Source organism: Homo sapiens, chromosome 8, assembly GCF_000001405.40.
Source record: "Homo sapiens chromosome 8, GRCh38.p14 Primary Assembly".
Taxonomy (NCBI): domain Eukaryota; kingdom Metazoa; phylum Chordata; class Mammalia; order Primates; family Hominidae; genus Homo; species Homo sapiens.
In genome coordinates this window covers 39,832,992-39,855,783 of record NC_000008.11, presented here as the reverse complement: position 1 = coordinate 39,855,783, position 22,792 = coordinate 39,832,992, and the positions used below count along the sequence as shown (strand labels likewise).

The following is a 22,792-nucleotide window of genomic DNA, read 5'->3' as shown; positions in this document are numbered from 1 at the left end:
TCTTGGCAGCCTGGAAGACTGTGTGCATGATGTGGGCTGTAACCTCTCTTGAGTGACAGGCCCTAAAATAAGCAGCAAACACTGACATAATTGAAAGAGGAGATAGACAGTTTTACAAAAATAGGGACTTACTAGTCGACTTTCAATAATGAACAGAATAACCAGAAAAAAGATCATAAAGAAATAGAGGACTTAAACAACATGTTAGGTCAACTAGACCTAACAGACATATGTAGAATGCTCTCCCCATCAACAGCGGAACATACACTCTTCTCAAGTGCACACAGAACATGTTAGGACTGTTAAAAGAAAATGAAATAAAGGACCCCCAAATCACTAAGCCAAAGGGAAAAGTCAGGCTGGGACCTGCCTCAGGCAAACCTACCTCTCATTGTATTTCTAAATAAGATAGCTACAAAGATTAAAAACAGTTACGTTCTTCCTTCACAATTTGCCCACAAGGACTTTCCTTGTGGGCCTCAAGATCTTTGCTCTAAGACAGTTCTGTTGAACTTCACCTTGGTAATGTAAATCGATAGCTTATCTTCACAGGTGCAGAGCAAAGGACAGACAAAACTCAGTCATCTCTCTGCTCACCTGAGACAAGTGCATATCCGATTGCCTTCTCTGCCCTATTGTTTATGTAAAAATGTAGATTCACTGAACCAGACTAAAGCATAAGTGACTCTTTCTCTGTCCCCCTCTCACATGTAAATTGTGTATTCAGTGAAAGGTTGACGAAAGACTCAAAAGAATGTAACCTTTTTTCTCTTATCTACCTATGACCTGGAAGCCCAGCCTCAAGTTGTCCTGCCTTGTTAGACAGAACCAATGTACATCTTACACATATTGATTGATGTCTCATGTCTCCCTAAAATGTATAAAAGCAAGCTGCACCACAACCACCTTGGTCACATGTTGTCAAGACTTCCTGAGACTGTCTCGCAGGTACGTCCACAACCTTGACAATATAAACTTACTAAATTGATTGAGACCTGTCTCAGATACTTGATGTTCACAACTTTGATCAAGGAACAAATGCTCACTTTTACTACTGCTATTTAACATTGTACTGGAAGTTTCAGCCATAGCAAAGTGAAAAAAAATGGCATCAGGATTGGAAGAAAGAAAGTAAAGTTATCTCTATTCACAGATTATCTGATCCAATATACAGAAAATCCCAGGGAATAAACACATACACACACACACTCACACACACACAGATAAGCTAAGAAATGAATTAAGCCAAGTTTTAGCATACAAAATCAACACACAAAAAAATCAGAGCACGAAATTCAGTTGTAGTACTTACACCAGCAACACATAACCTGAAAAGAAAATTAGAAACACAATTCAATTTACAATAGCATTTATAAAAATAACATATATAAGAATAAAATTTACCAAGGAGTATGTGATTTTTATGTACAGTGAAAACTATAAAACATTGCTCAATGATTTTAAGAAAAACTAAATAAATACCGTGTGCTCATGGATATTTATTTAGTTCATGCATATTTACTTATCATCACTTTAATATTGTTAAGATGATGATACTACCCAAAGCTATTTATAGAATCAACACAATCCCTATGAAAATTTCACAGATTTTTATTTTGCAGAAATGTAAAAGTCATGCCACAACTTCGTATGGAATTCAGAGAGGCCAAGAATAACAAAAACAATGTAGAAAGAGAAGAACAAAGCTGGAAAACTCACATGTTGGTGATTCAAAATTTACTACAAAACAATAGTAGTCAAAACAGTGTGGTACTGGCATAAAGAATGACATATAGACAACAGAGCCAAACTGAGAGTCCAGGAAGAAACTCTATACACATATGACCGATTTATTTTCAACAAGAATGCTAAGACCATACATTGAGTAAAGAATAGTCTGTTTGAAAAATGGTGCTGGGATAACCAGATATCTATGTGCAAAATAATGAAGCTGGGATTATACCTCACACCATATGCCAAAATTAACTCAAAATGGATCAGTGATTTAATATAAGAGCTAAAATTATAACACTCTTAGAAAACTAATGGACAGAACTCCATGACCTTATATTTAGTATGAGTGCTCAGATGTGACACAAAGAGCATGGGGGAAAAAAAAGAAAATGACACATAAATAAGACATCATCAAAACTGAAAACTTTTGCATATTGAAGGACATTATCAGGAAAGTGAAATAATACCTATTGAATGGGAGAAAATACCATATTTAGATATAAAATGTATATTATTTATATATACATAAGGGATCTAGAATCCAGAATATATAAATAAGTCTTATCACTGAACAACAAAAAGGGAACCCAATTAAAAAGTGTCCAAAAGACTTTAACAGGTAATTTTCCAAAGATGTACAAACTACCAAATAAGCACATGAGAAGACACTCAATATCACAGTCATTGGGGAAATGCAAAGTAAAACTACAGTTAGATATCACTTCACATCTACTTGAATGGCTATATTAAAGAAAGAAAAGAAGAAATAAATACTGTCAAGATTGGAATCCTCATATATTGCTGTTAGGAGTGAAAAATGGTTTAGCCACTTGGAAAGTGTGGCTATTCCTCAAAAGGTTAGACATAAAAATACCATATAACCCAGCAATTCCACTCCAAGTATATTCTCATAAGAATTGAAAGCAGGTACTCAAATACATGTAAAATACAATGAATCTTTCTGAGTTTCTCTTCAAAAGGTTTAGCCTGTTAACTTCCTTACCCTTTGTTCTCAAACTCAACTTTCTCGTTTCTCCTTGCCCCTAGTTACTGTAAACAGTAACTGTGTGCATGATGTGGGCTGCAACTTCCCGTGAGTTCTAATCAGTAACTCACATCTGTTCCCTTGTTTACCTGTACCCATTGTTCCCCTGAAACTGCACGTCTCACACACTCCACCACTGTAACTCACATCCCCCTCCCTTCCATATTAAAAAAAAATACTTATAAGTAGCCAATCGGGTTATCTCAGATTGTGTGGTCTGACCCCAGCCCATGGGGAAGGACACAGACATAGGGATCGCGTTAACGATATAAAAACTCCCTGGTCTCCTTTGTTTGGTGTGCACTTGCGATCTTGATTGACACGAGTGGCACCCTTTTGCAAAAGTAAATTGCCTTGCTGAGGAAACTAAATATATGTTTGAGTGCTGTTTCTTTTGTGGCATCGGAAATTCATTTATAACAATTTTGGTGGCCCGTACAGGGAGCCCATTCTCCTCTGGGGAGGGGTCTCCAGTACTTTCCCGTGTGGAGGCGCGCCCAGTCACCTTGTTGCGGTAGCCTCAAGGTGAGGAATCGAGACCCACCAAGTATGATGAATAAACCCAGACTCTCAGCAATGCAGGAAAGGAACAAACGGGCAGCTTGGGAAAAGGGGGCTCACATACCACAGCGACTAGGTAAACTCTACACAGACCAAGGTAAGAAAAGTCGCAGGGGCGACAAAATATTTCCTTGGTGGTCGGGAGTCTGGAGGTTAAAATGGTGTGAATGGTAACAAGCACTACTGTTGTGAGGAGTGAGTGAGTCCAATATGCAGTTCTGTGGTCACCTCATATGGCTTAGGGCGGCCCTTTGGGGGTCCCATCAGGGGTTTATACTGAGCTGCCATCAATGCTAAGAGGGACCTGAAATACTCCTGCAAGGGAAGCGGCCAGAGCAGACGAAGCAAGAGAAAGGTGCCAGAAATCTCCAGCAGGTGGGACTAAAGGATAGGCAAGAGATTCCTCATGCAAGGGAATTGAGCCTTAATAAGCCTCCATGGAAGGATAGGCAAAACATTCCTCATACAAGGGAAATGAGCCTTAATAAGCCTCCAGGGAAGGATAGGCAAGAGATTTCTAATACAAAAATTGAGCCTAACTAGGACCCAACATGGGAAATACCCCAAGCACAATGGAAAGTAAAAAGGATAAAAATAGCAATAAAGATATTCCCCCAAATTGTCCCCTAGGTCTCATGTTAAAATATTGGAAAAATAATGAGAGAACTAAACATAAGAACAAGCAACAAATGATAAAATATTGCTGTTTTGTTTGGACCCAGAGTCCCCTCCTTAAACCCTCAATCTTCTGGCCAAAATTTGGGTCGAATGAGGATGTAATGTGTCAACTCCTAATTCGACATGTAAATGAAAACAATCCAGTGTCTCAAGAGGAGCTAGACTATGCTCTTTGTTGGAGACAGAGACCTGTCCTCCTCAATCCCTTAAAAAAACTAGGGAAACACCCAATCTAGCACCCCACAATGAAGACTCAGAAAAGCTGGTTCCCATGCCAAAGGACTCCTGTGCATGGGATCCCCATACCACCTTCCCCCACTCAGTGCCCCCAATACTTCCCCTCAGGCAGCTGCCACCCCAGATCCTGCCCCAGATTCTTCCCCTGCCCACGTTATTTCTCCTCCTTACAATCCTGATTCCTGGGAATCATCACCCATGAATCTGTTCCCTCTCAGCCTAAGTGCGCCTCCCTGAAGGGACTCCAACGTGAAGTAGAACAATCTAAAAGAGATATCCAAAATTTCCCATTTCCCTCCACATCTAAGGAGTCAGCTCTGACTCTCTTCCCCTTGAAAGAAGTACCACAAAGTGTGGGGGCTATTGGCTTTGTAAGTGTTCCCTTAACTAGTTCAGAAGTCCAGAATTTAAGGAAGGAACTCAGGCCATTCTTATGTGACCCTTATGGGGTGCAGATCAAGTTAATCAATTCCTGGGACCACACTTTTACACCTGGGTCGAGTTGGTGTCCATTCTAGGCATACTCTTCTCTGGTGAAGAGAGAGAGATGATCTGTAGGGCTGCTATGGCAATTTGGGAGCGTGAACACGCTCCCGATCAAGACGTTCCTACCGCGGATCAAAAGTTTCCTGGCCGAGACCCCCAGTGGGACAATAATAACCCAGCTCACCAAGAAAATATGCAAGACCTAAGGGAAATGATAATAAAGTGAATTAGGGAATCAGTACCCTGAACCCACAACCTTTCCAAAGCACTTGATATACAACAAGAAAGAGATGAGGGGTTTATGAAATTTCTAGACAGACTGAAGGACCAAATGAAACAATATTCAGCCCTAAACTTAGAAGACCCCCTTGGACAAGGACTGTTAAAACTCTACTTCATCATTAAGAGTTGGTTAAATATCTCAAAAACGTTACAAAAATTAAAAAATCGAGAAGACCAACCTCTGAGTGAATTTCTCAGAGAAGCTCAAAAAGTATATGTTAGAAGACATAAAAAGAAACAGGAAAAAAAAGGCAAAACTTATGCTATCCACTTTCTAGCAGGTGGCCCCAAATCCACATACTTCTAAACAAAGCCTCCAGGGGGCCAAAAACTACAAAGGGTCCAGACTGCTGTTGAAAAGACCCAAGCCTCCATCCAGAGGACGCAGGCCCTCATCTACCAGAGTCTCTAAAGAGTATAGGGGAACAAAGACACAAAATCCGAGAGCTGAGAGGGAATAAGGACAAGATAGCTGTTACAGATGTGGAAAGGCAGGCCACTTCAAAAGAGAATGTCCTGAATTAGAAAGAGAGAGAGAAGCCCTGCCCCTCATGACCTTTGAGGGGGGTCAGGGACTCTCTCTTACTTCAAGTCCCACCAGGAGCCCTTGATAAATTTAGATGTTGGACCCAATCATGAACTTATCACCTTTCTAGTTAATTCAGGGGCCACTTGCTCCTCCCTTTGTTTCCCTTCATCTAACATTGCCTGCTCTTCAGAAGACCTTTTAGTCTCTGGGGTAAAAGGGAAGGATTTAAAGCAAAAGTCTCAGAAAGTACAGAAGTTCAATACCAAGAACGATTGACTCATATCCAATTTTTATTGACCCCAGAGGCAGGAACTAACTTATTAGGAAGAGGCTTAATGTTGAAGTTAGGTATAGGCTTACAAGTTAGTCCAAAAGGATTCCTTACCTCATTAAATTTAGTCACCACCGCAAATGAGAAATGTATTCACCCCAATGTCTGGTCCAGAGAAGGAAACCAAGGAAAACTTCACATTCCCCCAATCCACATCAAGCTAAAAACCCCAGAGGAAGTGGTGAGGAGGAAGAAATACCCTGTCCCTTTAGAAGGACGGATCAGGTTAAAGCCCATAATTGAAAGTCTCATAAAAAATGGGCTTCTTGAGCCTTGTATGTCTCCTTATAACACCCCAATACTGCCCATCAAGAAATCAGACAGATCATACCTGTTAGTACAAAATCTTAGAACTGCCAACCAAATAGTCCAAACCACTCACCCCGTTGTCCCTAACCCTTACACTTATTCTCAGTAAAATTCCATATAATCATCAATGGTTTACTGTAATAGACTTAAAAGATGCTTTTTGGGCATGACCCCTAGCTGAAAATAGCCAAGACATATTCGCCTTTGAGTGGGAAGACCTCCAGTAAGGGTGAAAACAACAGTATCAGTGAACAGTTTTGCCCCAAGGGTTCACAGACACACCCAACCTGTTTAGTCAGAGTCTAGAATAAATGCTAGAAAAGGTTTCTGTTCCAAATCACATATGCATGCTCCAGTATGTTGATAATATACTCATATCAGGAGAGGATGTAGAAAAAGTAACCAGTTTTTCCATATGTACCCTTGATCATCTACATTCTGAGAGGTTATGAGTCTCAAAGAAAAAGCTTCAGTATGTAGAACCTGAGGTCAAATATTTAGGCCATTTAATAAGTGCAGGCAAGTGGAGAATAGGGCTGGAGCGAGTTGAAGGCATCGTGTCTTTACCCTTGCCTCAAACTAAGCATGAGCTCAGAAAGTTTCTAGGATTAGTTGGATACTGCTGCTTATGGATTGACTCATATACCTTACACAGTAAGCTGCTATACCAGAAGCTTACTCAAGAAAATTCTGACCATCTCTTGTGAACTTCTGAGGAAGTCGACCAAATTGAGGAACTGAAAGAAAGACTTATGACTGCCCCAGTTTTAGCTTTGCCTTCTCTAGAAAAGCTCTTTCATCTTTTTGTCGATGTAAATAATGGAGTGGCTATAGGAATGCTTACCCAAGAACTCAGTGGCCACCAGCAGCCTGTGGCCTTCTTATCAAATGTTTTAGACCCTATTACCTGTGAGTGGCCTCAACGCATTCAATCTGTTGCCACTATGGCAATATTAGTTGAAGAAAGCAGAAAGTTAACTTTTAAGGGAACTGTAAGCACACCCCACCAAGTTAAAGCAATACTAAATCAAAAAGCTGGGAGGTGGCTTGCTGACTCCAGAATCCTGAAATACAAGGCTATTTTGCTAGAAAAAGATGATTTAACTTTAACTACTAATAATTCACTCAACCCAGCAGGTTTCTTAACAGGAGATCCAAATCTAAAGAAGGAGCACTTATGTCTAAATTTAATTGACTACCAAAGGTCAGACCAGACCTAGGGGAGACCCCCTTCAAAACAGGACGACACTTATTCATACATGGTTCCTCCAGGGTAATTGAAGGAAAAAGACACAACAGGTATTCAGTAATCGATGGGGAAACTCTTAAAGAATTAGAGTCAGGTAAATTGCATAATAATTGGTCTGCCCAAACTTTTGAGTTGTTTGCACTTCTCAATAAATGTTAATAAATCTATGTTTTCCTTAAACTATTGGGTTAGAGACCTATTACTATTCATGATAGTGATATATGATTCATTAGAGCTTGAGTTTTTGAGGTAAATACAAAAGTACATTTAAATTTCTTACTCCAGACAAAGAAGACTATATGTCTAAGAAAGGAAAGGCAAAAAATACAGATTCATATTTATTCACATTGAATTGTGCATAAAACATAACTTTCAATAATGGTGAAAATAACAGAACAGCTTTGTTATGTGCCTTGATCTATACAGAGTTTAAAAAATAGTTCTACATGACTATAGGGTATCTTCAGAAGTGGCGGTATATTAATCTTTGAAAATTCTCTTCTCCATAAGCAATAAGCAAATGTCAAAATTTCTCAGAATCAACTTTTTCATAACTCTGGAAATTCAAAGGCTTGCAGCCACCCAGATAACATTTATTCAAGACAAACAGCTAAATCTCAGTAAGGACAGTAAACTTTGTGGTATTTTAATTTGTCCTAGCCTATCTATCACTCTCCAGATCTACAATGTCCTTGAAAAATAACAGCCTGCATTTCTAGTGCAGCCTGGTAAGCATTGGAGGAAGCACAAGTATGGAACTCTTTGAAAGCCTCACCCTAAAAGAACTGACATTAATTTGACCTGATTGGTCATTCTCCAGAAGACTCCACTTGCAAGAATGCTTGTATTAGATTGACTCAGAACTAGAATGTGTATACAAAAAGCTTTTCTTCTCAGGATCCTTTGTAAAAAACAATTTACAGGCAGGTGTTTTAAATTTTCAGCTGCCTGAGGCAATGGATAACAGTTTGAACAAACAACAGCCAGACCAAAATATTTAACACAAGGCACTGGGGAGTGAGATATTCATAGAAGCTTTGAAAACCTAAACTCTGAAAGGCAACAAGGATGTGTAGAGCTGTCCACACGCACAGAAGATACCTGAGACCAAGAGAAGGCCCTAAACTCTTATCTCTGGCTGACCTTGAAGCTCTGAGCAAGCAAGTGGTGAAGGCTAAGAAGATTTTCAACTGTTTGGTTCAATGTTGAAGATATGACAGAGTAGGCACACAGAGCCCATTGGGAGGCTTGTTGGCACCAGACATTTAAAATAAGCTCTGTCTAATTATTAGCTGACCACGAATCTGAGTAGAGACTTCAGTGACTGCACACAACAATGGATACAGACTTTGCAGAATGATTTGAGGAAAGCTTCTAAACAAACAACTATTAATAACAAGCAGAAGTCATAGTAATCCTTAAGAGGAAGGAAGAATCTGACTTCCAGAGTTGCTGTATGATATCATTTGGAATGTTCTATTTTCAGCAAAATTTATGAGACATACAGAAAAATTATGGTCCATACACAAGAAAGAAACAAGCAATAGAAACTTTCCCCTAGGAATCCTAAATGTTGATCTTGCTAGACAAAGACATGAAATCGATTTTAAATATATTCAAAGACCTAAACAAACCATGTCTAAATAATTAAAAGAAAGTATGAAAATGATGACTTACCAAATAGAGAATATCAAGAAAAGAATAGACATTATAAAAAATAATCAAAAAAGAAATTCTGGGGCTAAAAAGTATAATAACTCAAAGAAAAAATTAACTAGAAAGGCTCCACAACAGCTTTGAGCAGGCAGAAGAGAAGCAGTGAATGTATTTATTTATTTAAATAAAAATATGCTTCCCCATTTCTTTTTTTAAATGAACTTTTATTGTAGATCTTGGGGGCACATGTGTAAGTTAGTTCCAAAGGTATATTGCACAGTGTTGGGGTTTGGAGTATGATTGAACCTGTCAATCATGAAGTGGGCATATTATCCAATAGGTAGTTTTTCAACCCTGGTCTCCCTCCCTTCCTCCCTTCCCATTCTTGCATTCCCTGGGGCCTGTTGTTCCTATCTTTATGTCCCTGTGTACCCAATATTTAGCTCCCAACTGTAAGAGAATATGCAGTATTTGTTGCTTTTGTTTCAAAGCAAAGAAAGAATTTAAAGAGACATCAGTTGAAGAAATTTAGGTGAGGAATGGAAAAAATGACAATTTCACAGACCTGTGACACACAATCAGACTTACAAACATACAATGGGAGTCCCAAAAGAAAGGGAGGAGATAAAAAGGCATAAAGAATATTTGAAGAAATAAGGTCTGAAAACGTCCACATTTGATGAAAAACAATAATCTACACACTTAAGAGGCTCAAATAACTCTAAGAAGGATAAAATCAAGTCATCCATACCTAACGCATAGTAATGAAACTGTCAAAAGCCAGAGATACATAATCTTGAAAGTAGCAAGAAGGAAGCAACTCATTATTTGTAGAAGATCCTCAGTAAGATTCAAAGATGATTTAATCGTATACCATGGAATCTAGAGATAATTGGGTGCCATACTCAAAGTGCTGAAAAATAAACTATGTCAACCAAAAATTCAACATCTTGCAAAACTTTCCTTCAAAAATGATAATAATGATATCTTCATATAAACAACAAAAAAGAAATTTGTGTCTTGCAGACTTACCCTATAAGGTATACTAAAGAAAGTCCTTCAAGTTGAAATGAAAGGATACTTGAGAGTAACTAAAATCCACATGAAGAAATAAAGACAGGAGATAATGGTAAATGTGTAGGTAATGCAATTTATAGTATAAATACATTTTTGTTTGTAATGCTTTTTATTTTATCTGATTTAAAAGACAATTTCAAAAGCATTGATTATAAATATATTTTGGGTGGTGTATAAATATGTATTTTATTTGGCAATAAAATCCAAAGGAGAGGAGGAGAGAGAAATAGGGCTCTATAAGAGCAAAATTGTTGTATACAACTGAAATTAAGTTGGTATTAATCTGAACTATATTGTTATAAATTAATGTGTTAATTTTAATTCTCAGGGGACCTATTACAAAAATATTCAAAAATATATGTTAAAAGAAGTAATGAGGGAATTATTATGGTGTACTAGAAAATATCTATTTGACCAAAAAAAAAGAGTTATAAATGAATAGAAGGAAAATATCTTAAACACATACCAAAAAAAAAGCAAAATGATAGAGTTAAATCTTACCTCATCAGCAATTGTGTTATATGTCAATCAGTAATTTGAACTCACCAATCAAGAGGAAGAGATTAGAAAAATAAATAAATAAAATCCAGCTATATGCTCTCTATAAGAAATAGAATTTAAATTCAGACACAAATAGGTTGAAAGTAAAAGAATGGAAAAAGATTATTTCATGCAAATTGTCAAAAAAAAAAAAAAAAGAGAAAGAGAAAAAGCAAAGAAAAAAAGAAGAAACAGCTACACCAAACACCAATGCAATTATCTGAATGCTTGTGTCTCCTCACAATTAATATGTTGAAACTTAATCCCCAGTGTGATAGTATTAAGAGGCAGGGCCTTTTAGGAAGGACTTTCCCTTATGAATGAAATTATGTAACATGATGTTTATAAGATCTATCCAGGTTTAGCATTATTAGTAATTCATTCCATTTTATTGACTGAAATCCTATTGAATGAACAAGCAACATTATATTAATCTGTTCAGCAGTTGATGGACATTTGAGCTGTTTCCACCTTTTGGATATTATGAATAATCATGCTGTAAACATTTGTGTTCAAGTTCTTAAATGAACATATGTTGTCATTTCTCTTGGGTATATATCTAGGAGTGGAATTTTGGGGCAATATGACAAACTATTTTTCATCTTTTTGAGGAACTTCCAGACTAATTTCCAAAGGAACTGTGCCATTTAACATTCCCATCATCAGTGTTTGAAGAGTTCGGATTCTTCTAATCCTTGCCAATACTTATTTTCCATTTTATTGATTATTTATAGTGCTTGTGAAGCAATATCTCATTACGGTTTTGGATTTTGTTTCTCTAATGCCTAATGACTAATGATCTAATTAGTAATGATCTTGAGCATCTTTTCATGGGGTCATTAGTCATTGATATTATACCACCTTTGGAGAAATATGTGTTGAAGTACTTTACCCATTTTTGTAGGCTTATTTTTCTTTTTTGTTGACTTGTAACAACTCTTTATATATTTCTGCTTTGCTAATTGTTTTCTGTATTTTTTAAATGTAGATTCTTTCTTTCTTCCTCTCTCACCATCTCCCTTTGTGATTATGTTTTCTGTCATAATATTGTTATAGTTTGAATGTGTTCCCCAAATTTCCTGTTTTGGGAATGAAATTCCAAAATTTATATGTTGATGGTTTTTGGAGGTCATGCCTTTGGATGGTAATTAGGATTAGGTGAGGTCATCAGGATGGATTCTCCATGACAGTATTAGTGGCTTTATAAGAAGAAGCAGAGACCTGAACTAGTGTGCTTGCTCTGTCTCTCAATGTGATGCCTCCTGCCACGTCATGATGCACAGAAAGGACCTCACCAGATGCCAGCATCATATTCTAGGACTTCTCAAGCCTCCAGCACCATGAGTTCAATAAACCTCTCTTATTCATTACCCAGTCTATGGTATTCTGTTACAGCAACAGAAAAAGGATTAAAACAGATATGCTTTAATGTCTTACTTTTTAACATTTTGTGTATCCACTCTTGGTTTTTGATTTGTGGTTACCGTGAGGCTTACATAAAACATCATCTAGTTATAATAGCCTATTTTAAGCTGGTAACAACTTAACTTTGATTGCATTAAAACCCTACCTTTTTATTCCCCCTACATATGTTTTTGATGCCACAGTTTACATTCTTTTATATTGTGTTCCTCTTAACAAATTATTATAGCTATTATTTTTTTGTAGGTTTTCTCTTTTAACCTTCTTAATAAAGAGATACATAATTTGCACACCACCATCGCTGTATTCCAGTATTCCTAATTTGACTGCGTACTTACTCTTGTCAGTGAGTTTTATACTTCTCTGTATTTTTATGTTACTAATTAGCATCTTTATTTTTTCATCCTGAGGAATTTCCTTTAGTATTTCTTACAAGGTTGGGCTAGTGGTGATAAACTCATTCAGGTTTGCTTGTATGGTAAAGTCTTTATCTCTTCTTTATTTCTGAAGTATAGCTTTGCCTAGTGAAGTATTCCTGGTTGACAGGTTTTGTTTATTGTTTTTTTTCTTTCTGGCAGTGCTCTGAACACATCATCTCATTATTTTCCTGGCCTGCTGCTGAGAAATCTGATAGGCAACGTGGATTTCTTTTGTGTGTGATGTGCTTCCTTTCTCTTGCTACTTTTTGGATCTTCTCTTTAATTTTTGACAGTTTGATTATAATAAGTCTTGATTTAGTATTGTTTGGATTGGATTTGATTGGATAATCTCGAGTTTCATCTACTTTGATTTACATCTTTCTCCAAATTTGGGAAGTATTTGTCATTATTTATCTAAATAAGCTCTTTCCCCTCTCTATTTCTGTGCTTTATGAGCATACCCATAATACTTTCTTGAACCATCATTATGCTAGATTTGATAACACATTCACAATCATAAGCTGAGGACCAACTGGAAGATTATATTTTCCTAATGCAGAGACTATCACTATAATTTTTCAAACTAAAACATAGAAAGAAAATAATTTAAAAAGCAGAGGAGAATTTCAGATCCTGGGAAACTATAAAATGACCTAATCTAATATAACCAGACTCACAATATGAGGAGAAGAGAAAATAAGATAGGGAAATATATAAAGAGAAAATATTTGAGAGTTTTAAAAATGGATAAAAGATATAAATTCACAAACCCAGAAAACACTTCACATTCTGAGATAACCAATATAAAGGAATTGCACATCTAGGCATATCACAATCAAACTGTTGATAACTAAAGATAAAGAGAAATTATTTAAAACAAGCCCAGAAAAAATTTGGGGGGGAACAACATGAAGAGTGATGTTAGAAGTAACAGAAGGCAAAATCTAGTTCTCATTAGAAGCAACGGAAGGCAAAATCACTGGGATGAAATGCTTAAGATACCAGGAAAAAAATACCTGTTAATGTAGAATGTTATAGCCATCAGGAATGCACTTCAGAAATGAAGACAATATTAAAAACAATTTTTATAAGCTAAGAGCAGAGAGAATTTCTCTGTGTAAATATAAGACCTGTAAAAATTGATACTGAAATTAAGTAAATAAAATAGCAACGTAACATTTTGTGATAGAGATGTAGATACAGTAATAAATCCCATACAATGAAATATTCAACACTAAAAGGAAATGGGCTATCAAGTCATGAAAAAAAGTGAAAGAACCTTAAATTTCTTTTCTTTTTTGTTTTTTTGAAATGTAGTCTCATTCTGTTGCCCAGGCTGGAGTGTTGGCATGATCTTGGCTCACTGCAACCTCTGCCTCCCAGGTTCAAGTGATTCTCCTGCCTCAGCCTCCCAAGTAGCTGGGATTTCAGGTGCCCACCACCACTCCTGGCTAATTTTTGTATTTTTAGTAGAGATGGGGTTTCACCATTTTGACCAGGCTAGTCTCAAACTCCTGACCTCAGGTGATCCTCCCACCTCAGCCTCCCAAAGTGCTGGGATTACAGGTGTGAGCCACTGCACCTGGCCAGGAACCTTAAATTTCTAAGTGAAAGGAGCCAAAATGAAAAGGCTATACTACTGGTGATTCCATTATTACATTCTGAAAGAGGCTAAATTATGGAAACAGTAAAAAAAATCAGTGCTCAGAGAGAAGAGAGGGATGCATAATTGGAGCACAGCAAGAAAACAATTTTGATTGGCACTATAATGATAGATGCACATCATTACACTTGTCAAAACTCATAGAATGCACAACACAAAGAGTCACCCCTAATGTAAGCTATGGATTTGGTTGTTAAGGATGTATCCATGTGTACAATGTTCACGGATTTTAACAAATGTACCTTACTGATATAGGATGTTGACAGTGGGAGATGCTGTGCATGTGGGGTTAAGGATATGTGACCTTAACCCCAGTTTTCCACTGGGTATTTTTCTGAACCTAGAACAGCCCTAAAAAAGCCTATTAATTATACATATATGTATATATGTAAAATATGTGGCTATAAAAATTAAATTAAATTAAATTGAATTATCTTATTGCAATATTCTTACTTTGTTTATTATGGGTATGTGGAATGCAATATGTTGAAGATATATAATATAATCTCTAAACATTAAAAACCCCCAAAAGAACAAATAGTATATTCAAAAATTAACGAGACCAGGTGAAATTAAATTTAAAGCAGCTTCCATTATCCAAAAGAGGTAAGAAAGTAAAAATAAAAGACCAGACAACTAGTAGGAAAACAATAGAAAACTGCTAGCAGGTGAGAGACATAAACTTAACATGTCTGTAATTACTGTAAGGAAATGGACCTAATACTTCAATTAAAGTCAGGTTCATCATACTGAATTTAAAAATCTGTATGTTATTTATACACAAACACACACACACAAACTTTAAGGATATGCCTTTAAAGTGAAATATTTTTTTAAAATATCCCAAGCAGATTCTAATTATTTTTTTAAAAATCTGGCTATGGAAGTGATAGATAAAATAAGCTTAATGGCAAAAAGCCAGTATGGGCAAAGAGTGACATTATAATGACATAAGTTCACTTCATCAGGAAGACAAAACCTCCCTAAATGAGTTTTAAAAAAATAACTTATCTTCAAAATATGATAATTAAAAATTGATAAAACACAAAGGAAAAATAGAAAAGTATTCTTAGTTGGACATAATAAAAGAACAAGAATTAATAAGGATATAAAATATTTGAAAATGTATTATCCAACTTGATCTAGTTGACATTTAAAGAATAATATAATCCACAGCTAAATAGTCTGCATTCTTTTAAAGTTTGCATTCTTTTAAAGTTCGAAACATTCAATGTAATGAACCATATAATGGGCAATGAATTTTCTCTTAGTGAATTGCAATGACTTGAAATTATTCAAAATACAATCTATGATCACAATGGAATTGAGTTAGACATCAATAAAAAAGTAATTAATACATGCTTAAATATGTGGCATTTAAATAACACCAATAAACATGTGGGGCAAAAAGAAATCATGATGAAAATTAGAAAACATTTAGAATTGAATATTAATGAAAGTAAAGTATATCAAAATAAAGTATAAGAATACAATGGTGAAGTTAAAGCAATGAATAGATAGAAATTTGGAAATACATGGAAATTTGTAGTTTAAAGGCATAGGTTAAAAGAAGAAATGTTTAAAATAAATAATATAAACTTCCAATCTTAGAAGCTAGAAAAGGAACATTATGCCCAAAGTAGAAAAAAGGAAAAGAACCCAAGAACAAAATCAACAAAGCAGAAAACATACAACAGAAAAAAATAAAGAAATCCAAAACCGAGTTCCTGTAAAACTTAATAAAAATTATACATTCCAAGACCTATTTACCCAGTATAAAGAGAAACATCACAAATTATCAACATTGAGAATGGAAGAAGAGATATGTCTGCAGGTGCTATAGACCTTAAAAAGTTGCTAGAGGAGAGGAAGTCATTATGAACAACTTTTGTCAATAATTTAACAACCCCAAAGAAATGGACAAATTCCTTCAGAAACATAACTTTCTCAAACCAACACGAAAAGAAAAAAATATGAATATTTTAAAGAAATTAGATAAAAAAGTAAATAAATCTTCTCATGAAGAAAACTCCAGGTCATAATCACTCCATTTCTAAATGCTAAGAAACATTAAAAGAATAAATATTCACAGCATTACACTATTTCAAAGATTAAACGAAGAGATAACATTTCTTAATTTCTTTTATGAGGGCAGCATGTCTTGATATAAAAGTTGGTAAGTTCATTACAATGAAGGAACATTACAGACAACACAACAACACAACAAGGCATTGATGTGTACGAAGTGGAATTTTCATATACTTCTGGTGAGAGTATAAATTAGTACAGTCTTGGAAAACTTGTCGGAAGTATCTACCAACACATACCCTGTGATCCGACAACTTCACTCTAGAAATATACACAGTAGAAATCCTTACTTATTACACCAAAAGGCATGTAGAAGAATGTTTATAGCTAAATATTATTTTTAATAGCTGGAACAATAAACAAACAAAATATTCATTAACAGTAAAATGGAAACACAAGTGGTGTTATATTTAATGAATTTGTAATATACACCAATGAGGATAAAACAGAACTATTGCTTTGTATGAACCTTACAATCATCCTATTAAAAGAACCCAGACATGAAAGAGTAGATGGTGATTGCTTCTACTTGCGAAAAGTTCAAAAACAGACAAAACGAATCTTTGGTTGTTTAGAAGTCATGGTTGTGAGGTTGGAATCTGGGGATTTGGGTGGTTCTTTTTCATTTCTTCATCGTGGTACTAGTTACGCTGTTTTTTTTTTCCACTTGAATATTAATTGACCTGTGAACTTATGATTTATTATATACTTTTTTTCGTTTTTTGTTTCGTTCTTTTTTTTTTTTTTTTTTTTTTTTTTGACGGAATTTCGCTCTCTCACCCAGGCTGGAGTGCAGTGGTAAGGTCTTTCTGCTCACTGCAACCTCTGCCTCCTAGGTTCAAGCGATTCTCCTGCCTCAGCTTCCCGAGTAGCTGGGATTTCAGGCACCCGCCACCATGCCTGGCTAATTTTTTTTTGTATTTTTAGTACAGACGGGGTTTCACCATGTTGCGGAAACTGGTCTCGAACTCCTGATACGTGTTTATATATATTCAATTGAAATTTTACTTAAGAAGTGTTTATAAATCTTCCTGTTCCTCAGCTGTTGGAAGTGATTTTGTTGTTGCTGTTGCCTTAATTAGGCATCACGTCCAGTGGAGTGCTTGTCCTGCAAGAGACAGGGCTCAGGAGCTCGCACGTTCCACAGCGCACCACACCCAACCTCAGCCCACCTGGGCTCTCCCAGCCGCCTACCTCTTCCAGGCTGCGTGGCCGGGGCGTCATCTCGCGCTTCCAACTGCCCTGTAACCACCAACTGCCATTATTCCGGCTGGGACCCAGGACTTCAAGCCATGTGGCGCGTCTTGTTTCTGCTCAGCGGGCTCGGCGGGCTGCGGATGGACAGTAGTAAGCAGAAAAACCCCTCCTCTGGCCTTTTGGGACCCTCAGCGCTACTCTCCCTTTGCCTCCAAGTTACATTGACATCCCTGGGAGGATGCTTTCCTGAGGGGTTTCCAACTCAGCAATTCCAAGCTCATCCCCGACATTGCCGCCTTCCCCACCCAAAATCCACGTAGAATAAGGGCTTTCCCACACGTCCTGGAAACCTAGGAAAGATAAGATAGGAGGTCCTAGGCCTTAAGAGGTTGCTTCAAAATTGTAGTTTCAGATCCTGCTTTGCATTTTTCACGACAGTGAAAGTTGAGACCCAACTTCTGTACTCTCTAGTTGAAGAGTCCAGAGTGAGTTAATTTGTCCTGAGGGGCTTGAACCTATTGACCCAAGGTTACCAGATCCTACCTACAGGGCAATACTCCTAAAGCAATACACCTACTTCTTTTTTAAAAAAATATGGCCGGGCACGGTGGCTCATGCCTGTAATCCCAGCACTTTGGGAGGCTGAGGAAGGCGTATCACGAGGTCAGGAGATCGAGACCATCCCGGCCAACATGGTGAAATCCCCCTCTACTAAAAATATAGAAAATTAGCTGGGGGTGGTAGTGCGTGCCTGTAGTCCCAGCTGCTGGGGAGGCTGAGGCAGGGGAATCGCTTGAAACCGGGAGGCGGAGGTTGCAGTGAGCAGAGATCTCACCACTGCACTCCAGCCTGGGCCTGGGCGACAGAGTGAGACTTCGTCTCAAAAACAAAAAAAAAAACAGAAAAACAGAAAAAAAAACCTCCTTGTATTTTTAGAAAGAAATGGGAAGATAATAAAAATGAGAAGCAGCGTATAGAATAGAGATTAGAGATTTAGATGAAAAACTCATAAAACACGCTCTGAAATGATGGGCATTGTTCTAATAAAACATTTTGCACATTTTGCAGATTTTGATAGTTTACCTGTGCAAATTACAGTTCCGGAGAAAATACGGTCAATAATAAAGGAAGGAATTGAATCGCAGGTAATGAATCACTAACAGTATTTACAAATTTAAAATGATGTAAAGATTTTGTTTCTAAGAAGTTAATCTGCCATTTTTCATTCATGCACACCTGTTGAATTTTATATTTATACCAAATTTTCCCTGAATGGAAAAGCCCTTTTGAAAATGAACCAGGATCAACAATGTTTCACAGAAATAATGGTGCAGTGATGCTGGTTATCAAAGCCCCAAGTCCATTTTCTGAATCTGTCTTCCTCTTGGATGTCTTTGAATAATCATTGGCTTGATTGTTCTAGAGATTCTGTTCTCACTCACCGTTCAGGCTGTATTTGGAGGAATTTTTTGTCATTGTTGCTAAGTAAGCCTTGGCTTGCTTATATGGGATGATGATCACTTGAATTAATGATGTGTTATATTAATGATTTTTTTAGCCCTGATTGCGAATATGTTAATGATTAGAACTCTTTCTTTCATGCTATTTTAGATTATTTTAGTTCAGAATTATTACTCTCTTTTTAAAATTTGAATTTAAAATCTTCTTATCATTTTCACTAAGTTCTAGAATCCATTTCTGAAGTGGAATGTGGTTTCTTGAGACATCAATTTTTTTTTTTTGGTTTGGTAGCAGATGTTCTGGTAATTTAAATGCAAACATTTCCTTAGCATATATCCATTTGTCATCCTAATACAGACATTATAGCTTAAGATGTTATTTAAATCATTTTTAAAGGAATGCATATCTATATATCTATTACTAAAACAAATCATTTAAATAGAAAAAAGCAGTGAGGCTTTTAACAATATTTTATGAAACATTTTTAATGTAAAATTATTATGGAGATGTTAATAATAGTAGAAAATAAGCAGAGAATCTATTTGGAGAGAAGTATTTCAAACAAGAATAACTTGATTGTTATAAGATAGTTATTTGCAATAAGTAAAAAAAAATGCCCATTTTCAACTGTCAAATTCATGAGGAAAAAATTGTCTATTTTGTTAATGTCTGTATTCTTCTTGCCTAGAACAGTGTCAGATACAAATGCTATGTGTATTTATGCTTTTGTGCACTAATCAGGCTCATTATTTTCTCATTTGTAAATGAGAAACTTGGAATAGCTGGTCATCAAAAAGTTCCTTTTTGATTTTGTGGTTACCAAAACCAAAACAAAGCACCACCACCAACAAAAAAATAGTGCAAGGGATAATTGTTGACCGTCAGTTGCTTAGGGAGTTAATGGGAGTTAAGGAGTTAAAGGGAGTTAAATACACAATTAGCATAATAGCCTAGTTTATTTTTAAAATACTGTAATGAATTAACAGTATTTTTAAAACAAACTAGGCTATTATGCTAATTAATTCAACAAATACTATAAACATAATATGAAACTATATATTTTGAATTATTACAGTTAATAAAGGCTAGAAACCATAAGATTATTCAACCTAAAATTACTAGATTTTTTTTTTTTTTTGAGACGGAGTCTTGCTTGTTGCCCAGGCTGGAGTGCAGTGGCGCAACCTCGGCTCACTGCAAGCTCCGCCTCCCAGGTTCACAGCATTCTCCTGCCTCAGCCTCCTGAGTAGCTGGGACTACAGGCACCTGCCACCAAGCCCAGCTAGTTTTTTTGTATTTTTAGTAGAGACGGGGTTTCACCGTTGGTCAGGATGGTCTCGATCTCCTGACCTCCTGATCCACCTGCCTCGGCCTCCCAAAGTTCTGGGATTACAGGCGTGAGCCACCGCACATGGCCTAAAATTACTAGATTTTTAAAAATAATTGAATGTAACTTCTAAAAGTGGGAAATGCAGTATGAAAATATAAAAGTCAGGAATTTAGAGTAGAACAGAGACAGCTGAAAAGATGAAATGCAACATGTGAAAGGCTAAGAGAAAAGGACAGAATTAGAAGCTTAAGCATAGAGTGATTGGCATTCCTGAAATAGGGGAGAAAAGAAGAAGAGGTAATAGTAAACATATTTTAATAAGAAATGGCTTTATAAAGTCGAATCTTCAGAACAGGTGTCCCAAATCCAAAGCAGAGTTTATTTGTTGAAGTCCTAACCCCTGGTGCCTCAGAACGTAAGCATATTTGGAGGCAGAGTCTATAAAGACGTAATTAAATTAAAATGAGTTTACTAGAATAGTAATTAATAGTAAGTTACAGCTCTAATACCATATGACTGGTGTCCTTGCAAGAACAAGGAATCTGAGCACAGACACATGTGGATATGAAGACACCAGGAGACCCAGAAAAAGCATTCCACAAAGTCTAACATCCTTTCTTGGTTAAAAACTCTTAACAGTTTAGGTATAGAAGGAAGGTACCTGAATATAATTAAGGCCAGTTATGAAAAACCCTTAGTTAACATCATAATTAGTGGAAAGGGACTAAAACCTTTTTTTTTTTTTTTTTTTTTTTTTGATGGAGTCTTGCCCTGTCGCCCAGGCTGGAGGGCAATGGTGTGATCTTGGCTCACTGCAACCTCCGCCTCCCAAGGTTCAAGTGATTCTCCTGTCTCGGCCTCCCCAGTATCTGGGATTACAGGCAACCGCCCCATGCCCGGCTAATTTTTTGCATCTTTTAGTAGAGATGGGGTTTCACCATGTTGGTCAGGCTGGTCTCAAAATCTTGACCTCATGATCCGCCTGCCTTGGCTTCCCAAAGTGCTGGGATAATAGGCGTGAGGTTTTCCTTTAAGATGTGGTACAAGACAAGGATTCCCACTCTCAACATAGTACTGATAGTACTAACTATCAAGGGCAGAGGTAAAGATATAAACAGCATCCAAAATCAGAAGGAAGTCAAATATCTTTATTAGCACATGACATGATCCCATATATAGAAAACCCCAGACTCCACCATAAATCTCTTAGATCAAACAGAATTCAATAAAGTTGCAGGTCATAAAATCAACATACACATTTCAAAATAAACAAATAAAGTATATATATTATTTTATTCATTATTTTGATTATGAAATCTAGAATTATAATGTCAAATGCCATTAAAATAAATCAGCATTAAATTCTATTTTTTCTCCTTTTATTAAATGAATGTGTTTTAGAATGCAATTATCATTAATGTAAAATGATGGTTATCCCTTCTAACATTTTTTTTCATTTTCTTTGTATTTTTACTGTGCTCTCCTGCCAGGCATCCTACAAAATTGTAATTGAAGGGAAACCATATACTGTGAATTTAATGCAAAAGTAGGTAATCATCATTATTTTATCAATTCTCTTTGTTCTACTTATAATTTTTGCTTGAAATTGTCCAGAATGTAATTATTTTGTATTTGAAAATATTTCTAGCTTCTTGCCATTCATTCATCCCTTATCATATGATTTAAGCCTATATATGATACATACCTAGAACTTGAATTCAGAGTGTATGTGCCCCTCCTTCTTGTTCCCAGTAGCACCAAATTTTTATTTGGTGATCCAAGAGGTTTCATAAAGGATGAATTTTGATAATTTTCTATCTCTCATAAAAATATATATGGCTTATTTTTAAGTTCTTTTATATTCAAGGTATATTTCAAAGAACATAGCAGATTGCTGGATGTCATGAATCATGACACATTTTAAACTAGTTTACATACTTTATCAAAACTTATTAAGGACTTAAGTTAAAATTAAATAAAATTTGTAATTAGCCAAATTCAATCTCAGGCCAGTTGATGAATTTGGGGAAAACAAGCACAATATACTAAGAAATAAAGAAAAGTGAAAATTGAAATGATTCTTCTAGTGATAAGAACAGATTTCTACAAATTATCAAAAGCAGAAGCCTGCAAATGAAATTACCAAATCAATACAAAAATCAAAAACGCATCCATATCATTTCTAGAATTCATAGCTGCACTCTTTTTATACATCATAAATTTTGGAAAATGTTTTCTATTTATAAGATGGACGGTACTAGTTTGAAGAAATAACATTAAAAAAAGACTCAAAATTACTTTTTTCTGAAGAAAAAAAGTGCTGCCTTCTGCAAGAAATACATAGAGCAAACTGACATAGAATCCCAACAGTTGTTACTTTAGAATGTCAAGTTATGAGACTGAGAGCAAGTCAGTGACCAGTAGTAAAGCATCCTCTGAAATTACTTTCTGCATCACAGATACAGTATTTATAAATGTTTAATATAGATCAAAATATG

General features: G+C 36.1%; 1 protein-coding gene across 6 annotated transcripts in view; it reads left to right on the top strand.

Moving 5' to 3' along the window:
• Positions 1–17,556: 17,556 nt before the first annotated feature.
• Positions 17,557–22,792, top strand: part of ADAM2 (ADAM metallopeptidase domain 2) — a 94,493-nt gene continuing 89,257 nt past the window's right edge. For all 6 annotated transcript variants that reach the window (NM_001437784.1, XM_011544479.1, NM_001278113.2 and 3 more), the window contains exons 1-3: positions 17,557–17,653; positions 18,572–18,648; positions 21,785–21,840. In NM_001437784.1, coding sequence (NP_001424713.1) covers positions 17,599–17,653; positions 18,572–18,648; positions 21,785–21,840 — 188 coding nt within the window. In that variant the 5' untranslated portion in view covers positions 17,557–17,598. The remainder of the gene's footprint in view (positions 17,654–18,571; positions 18,649–21,784; positions 21,841–22,792) is intronic.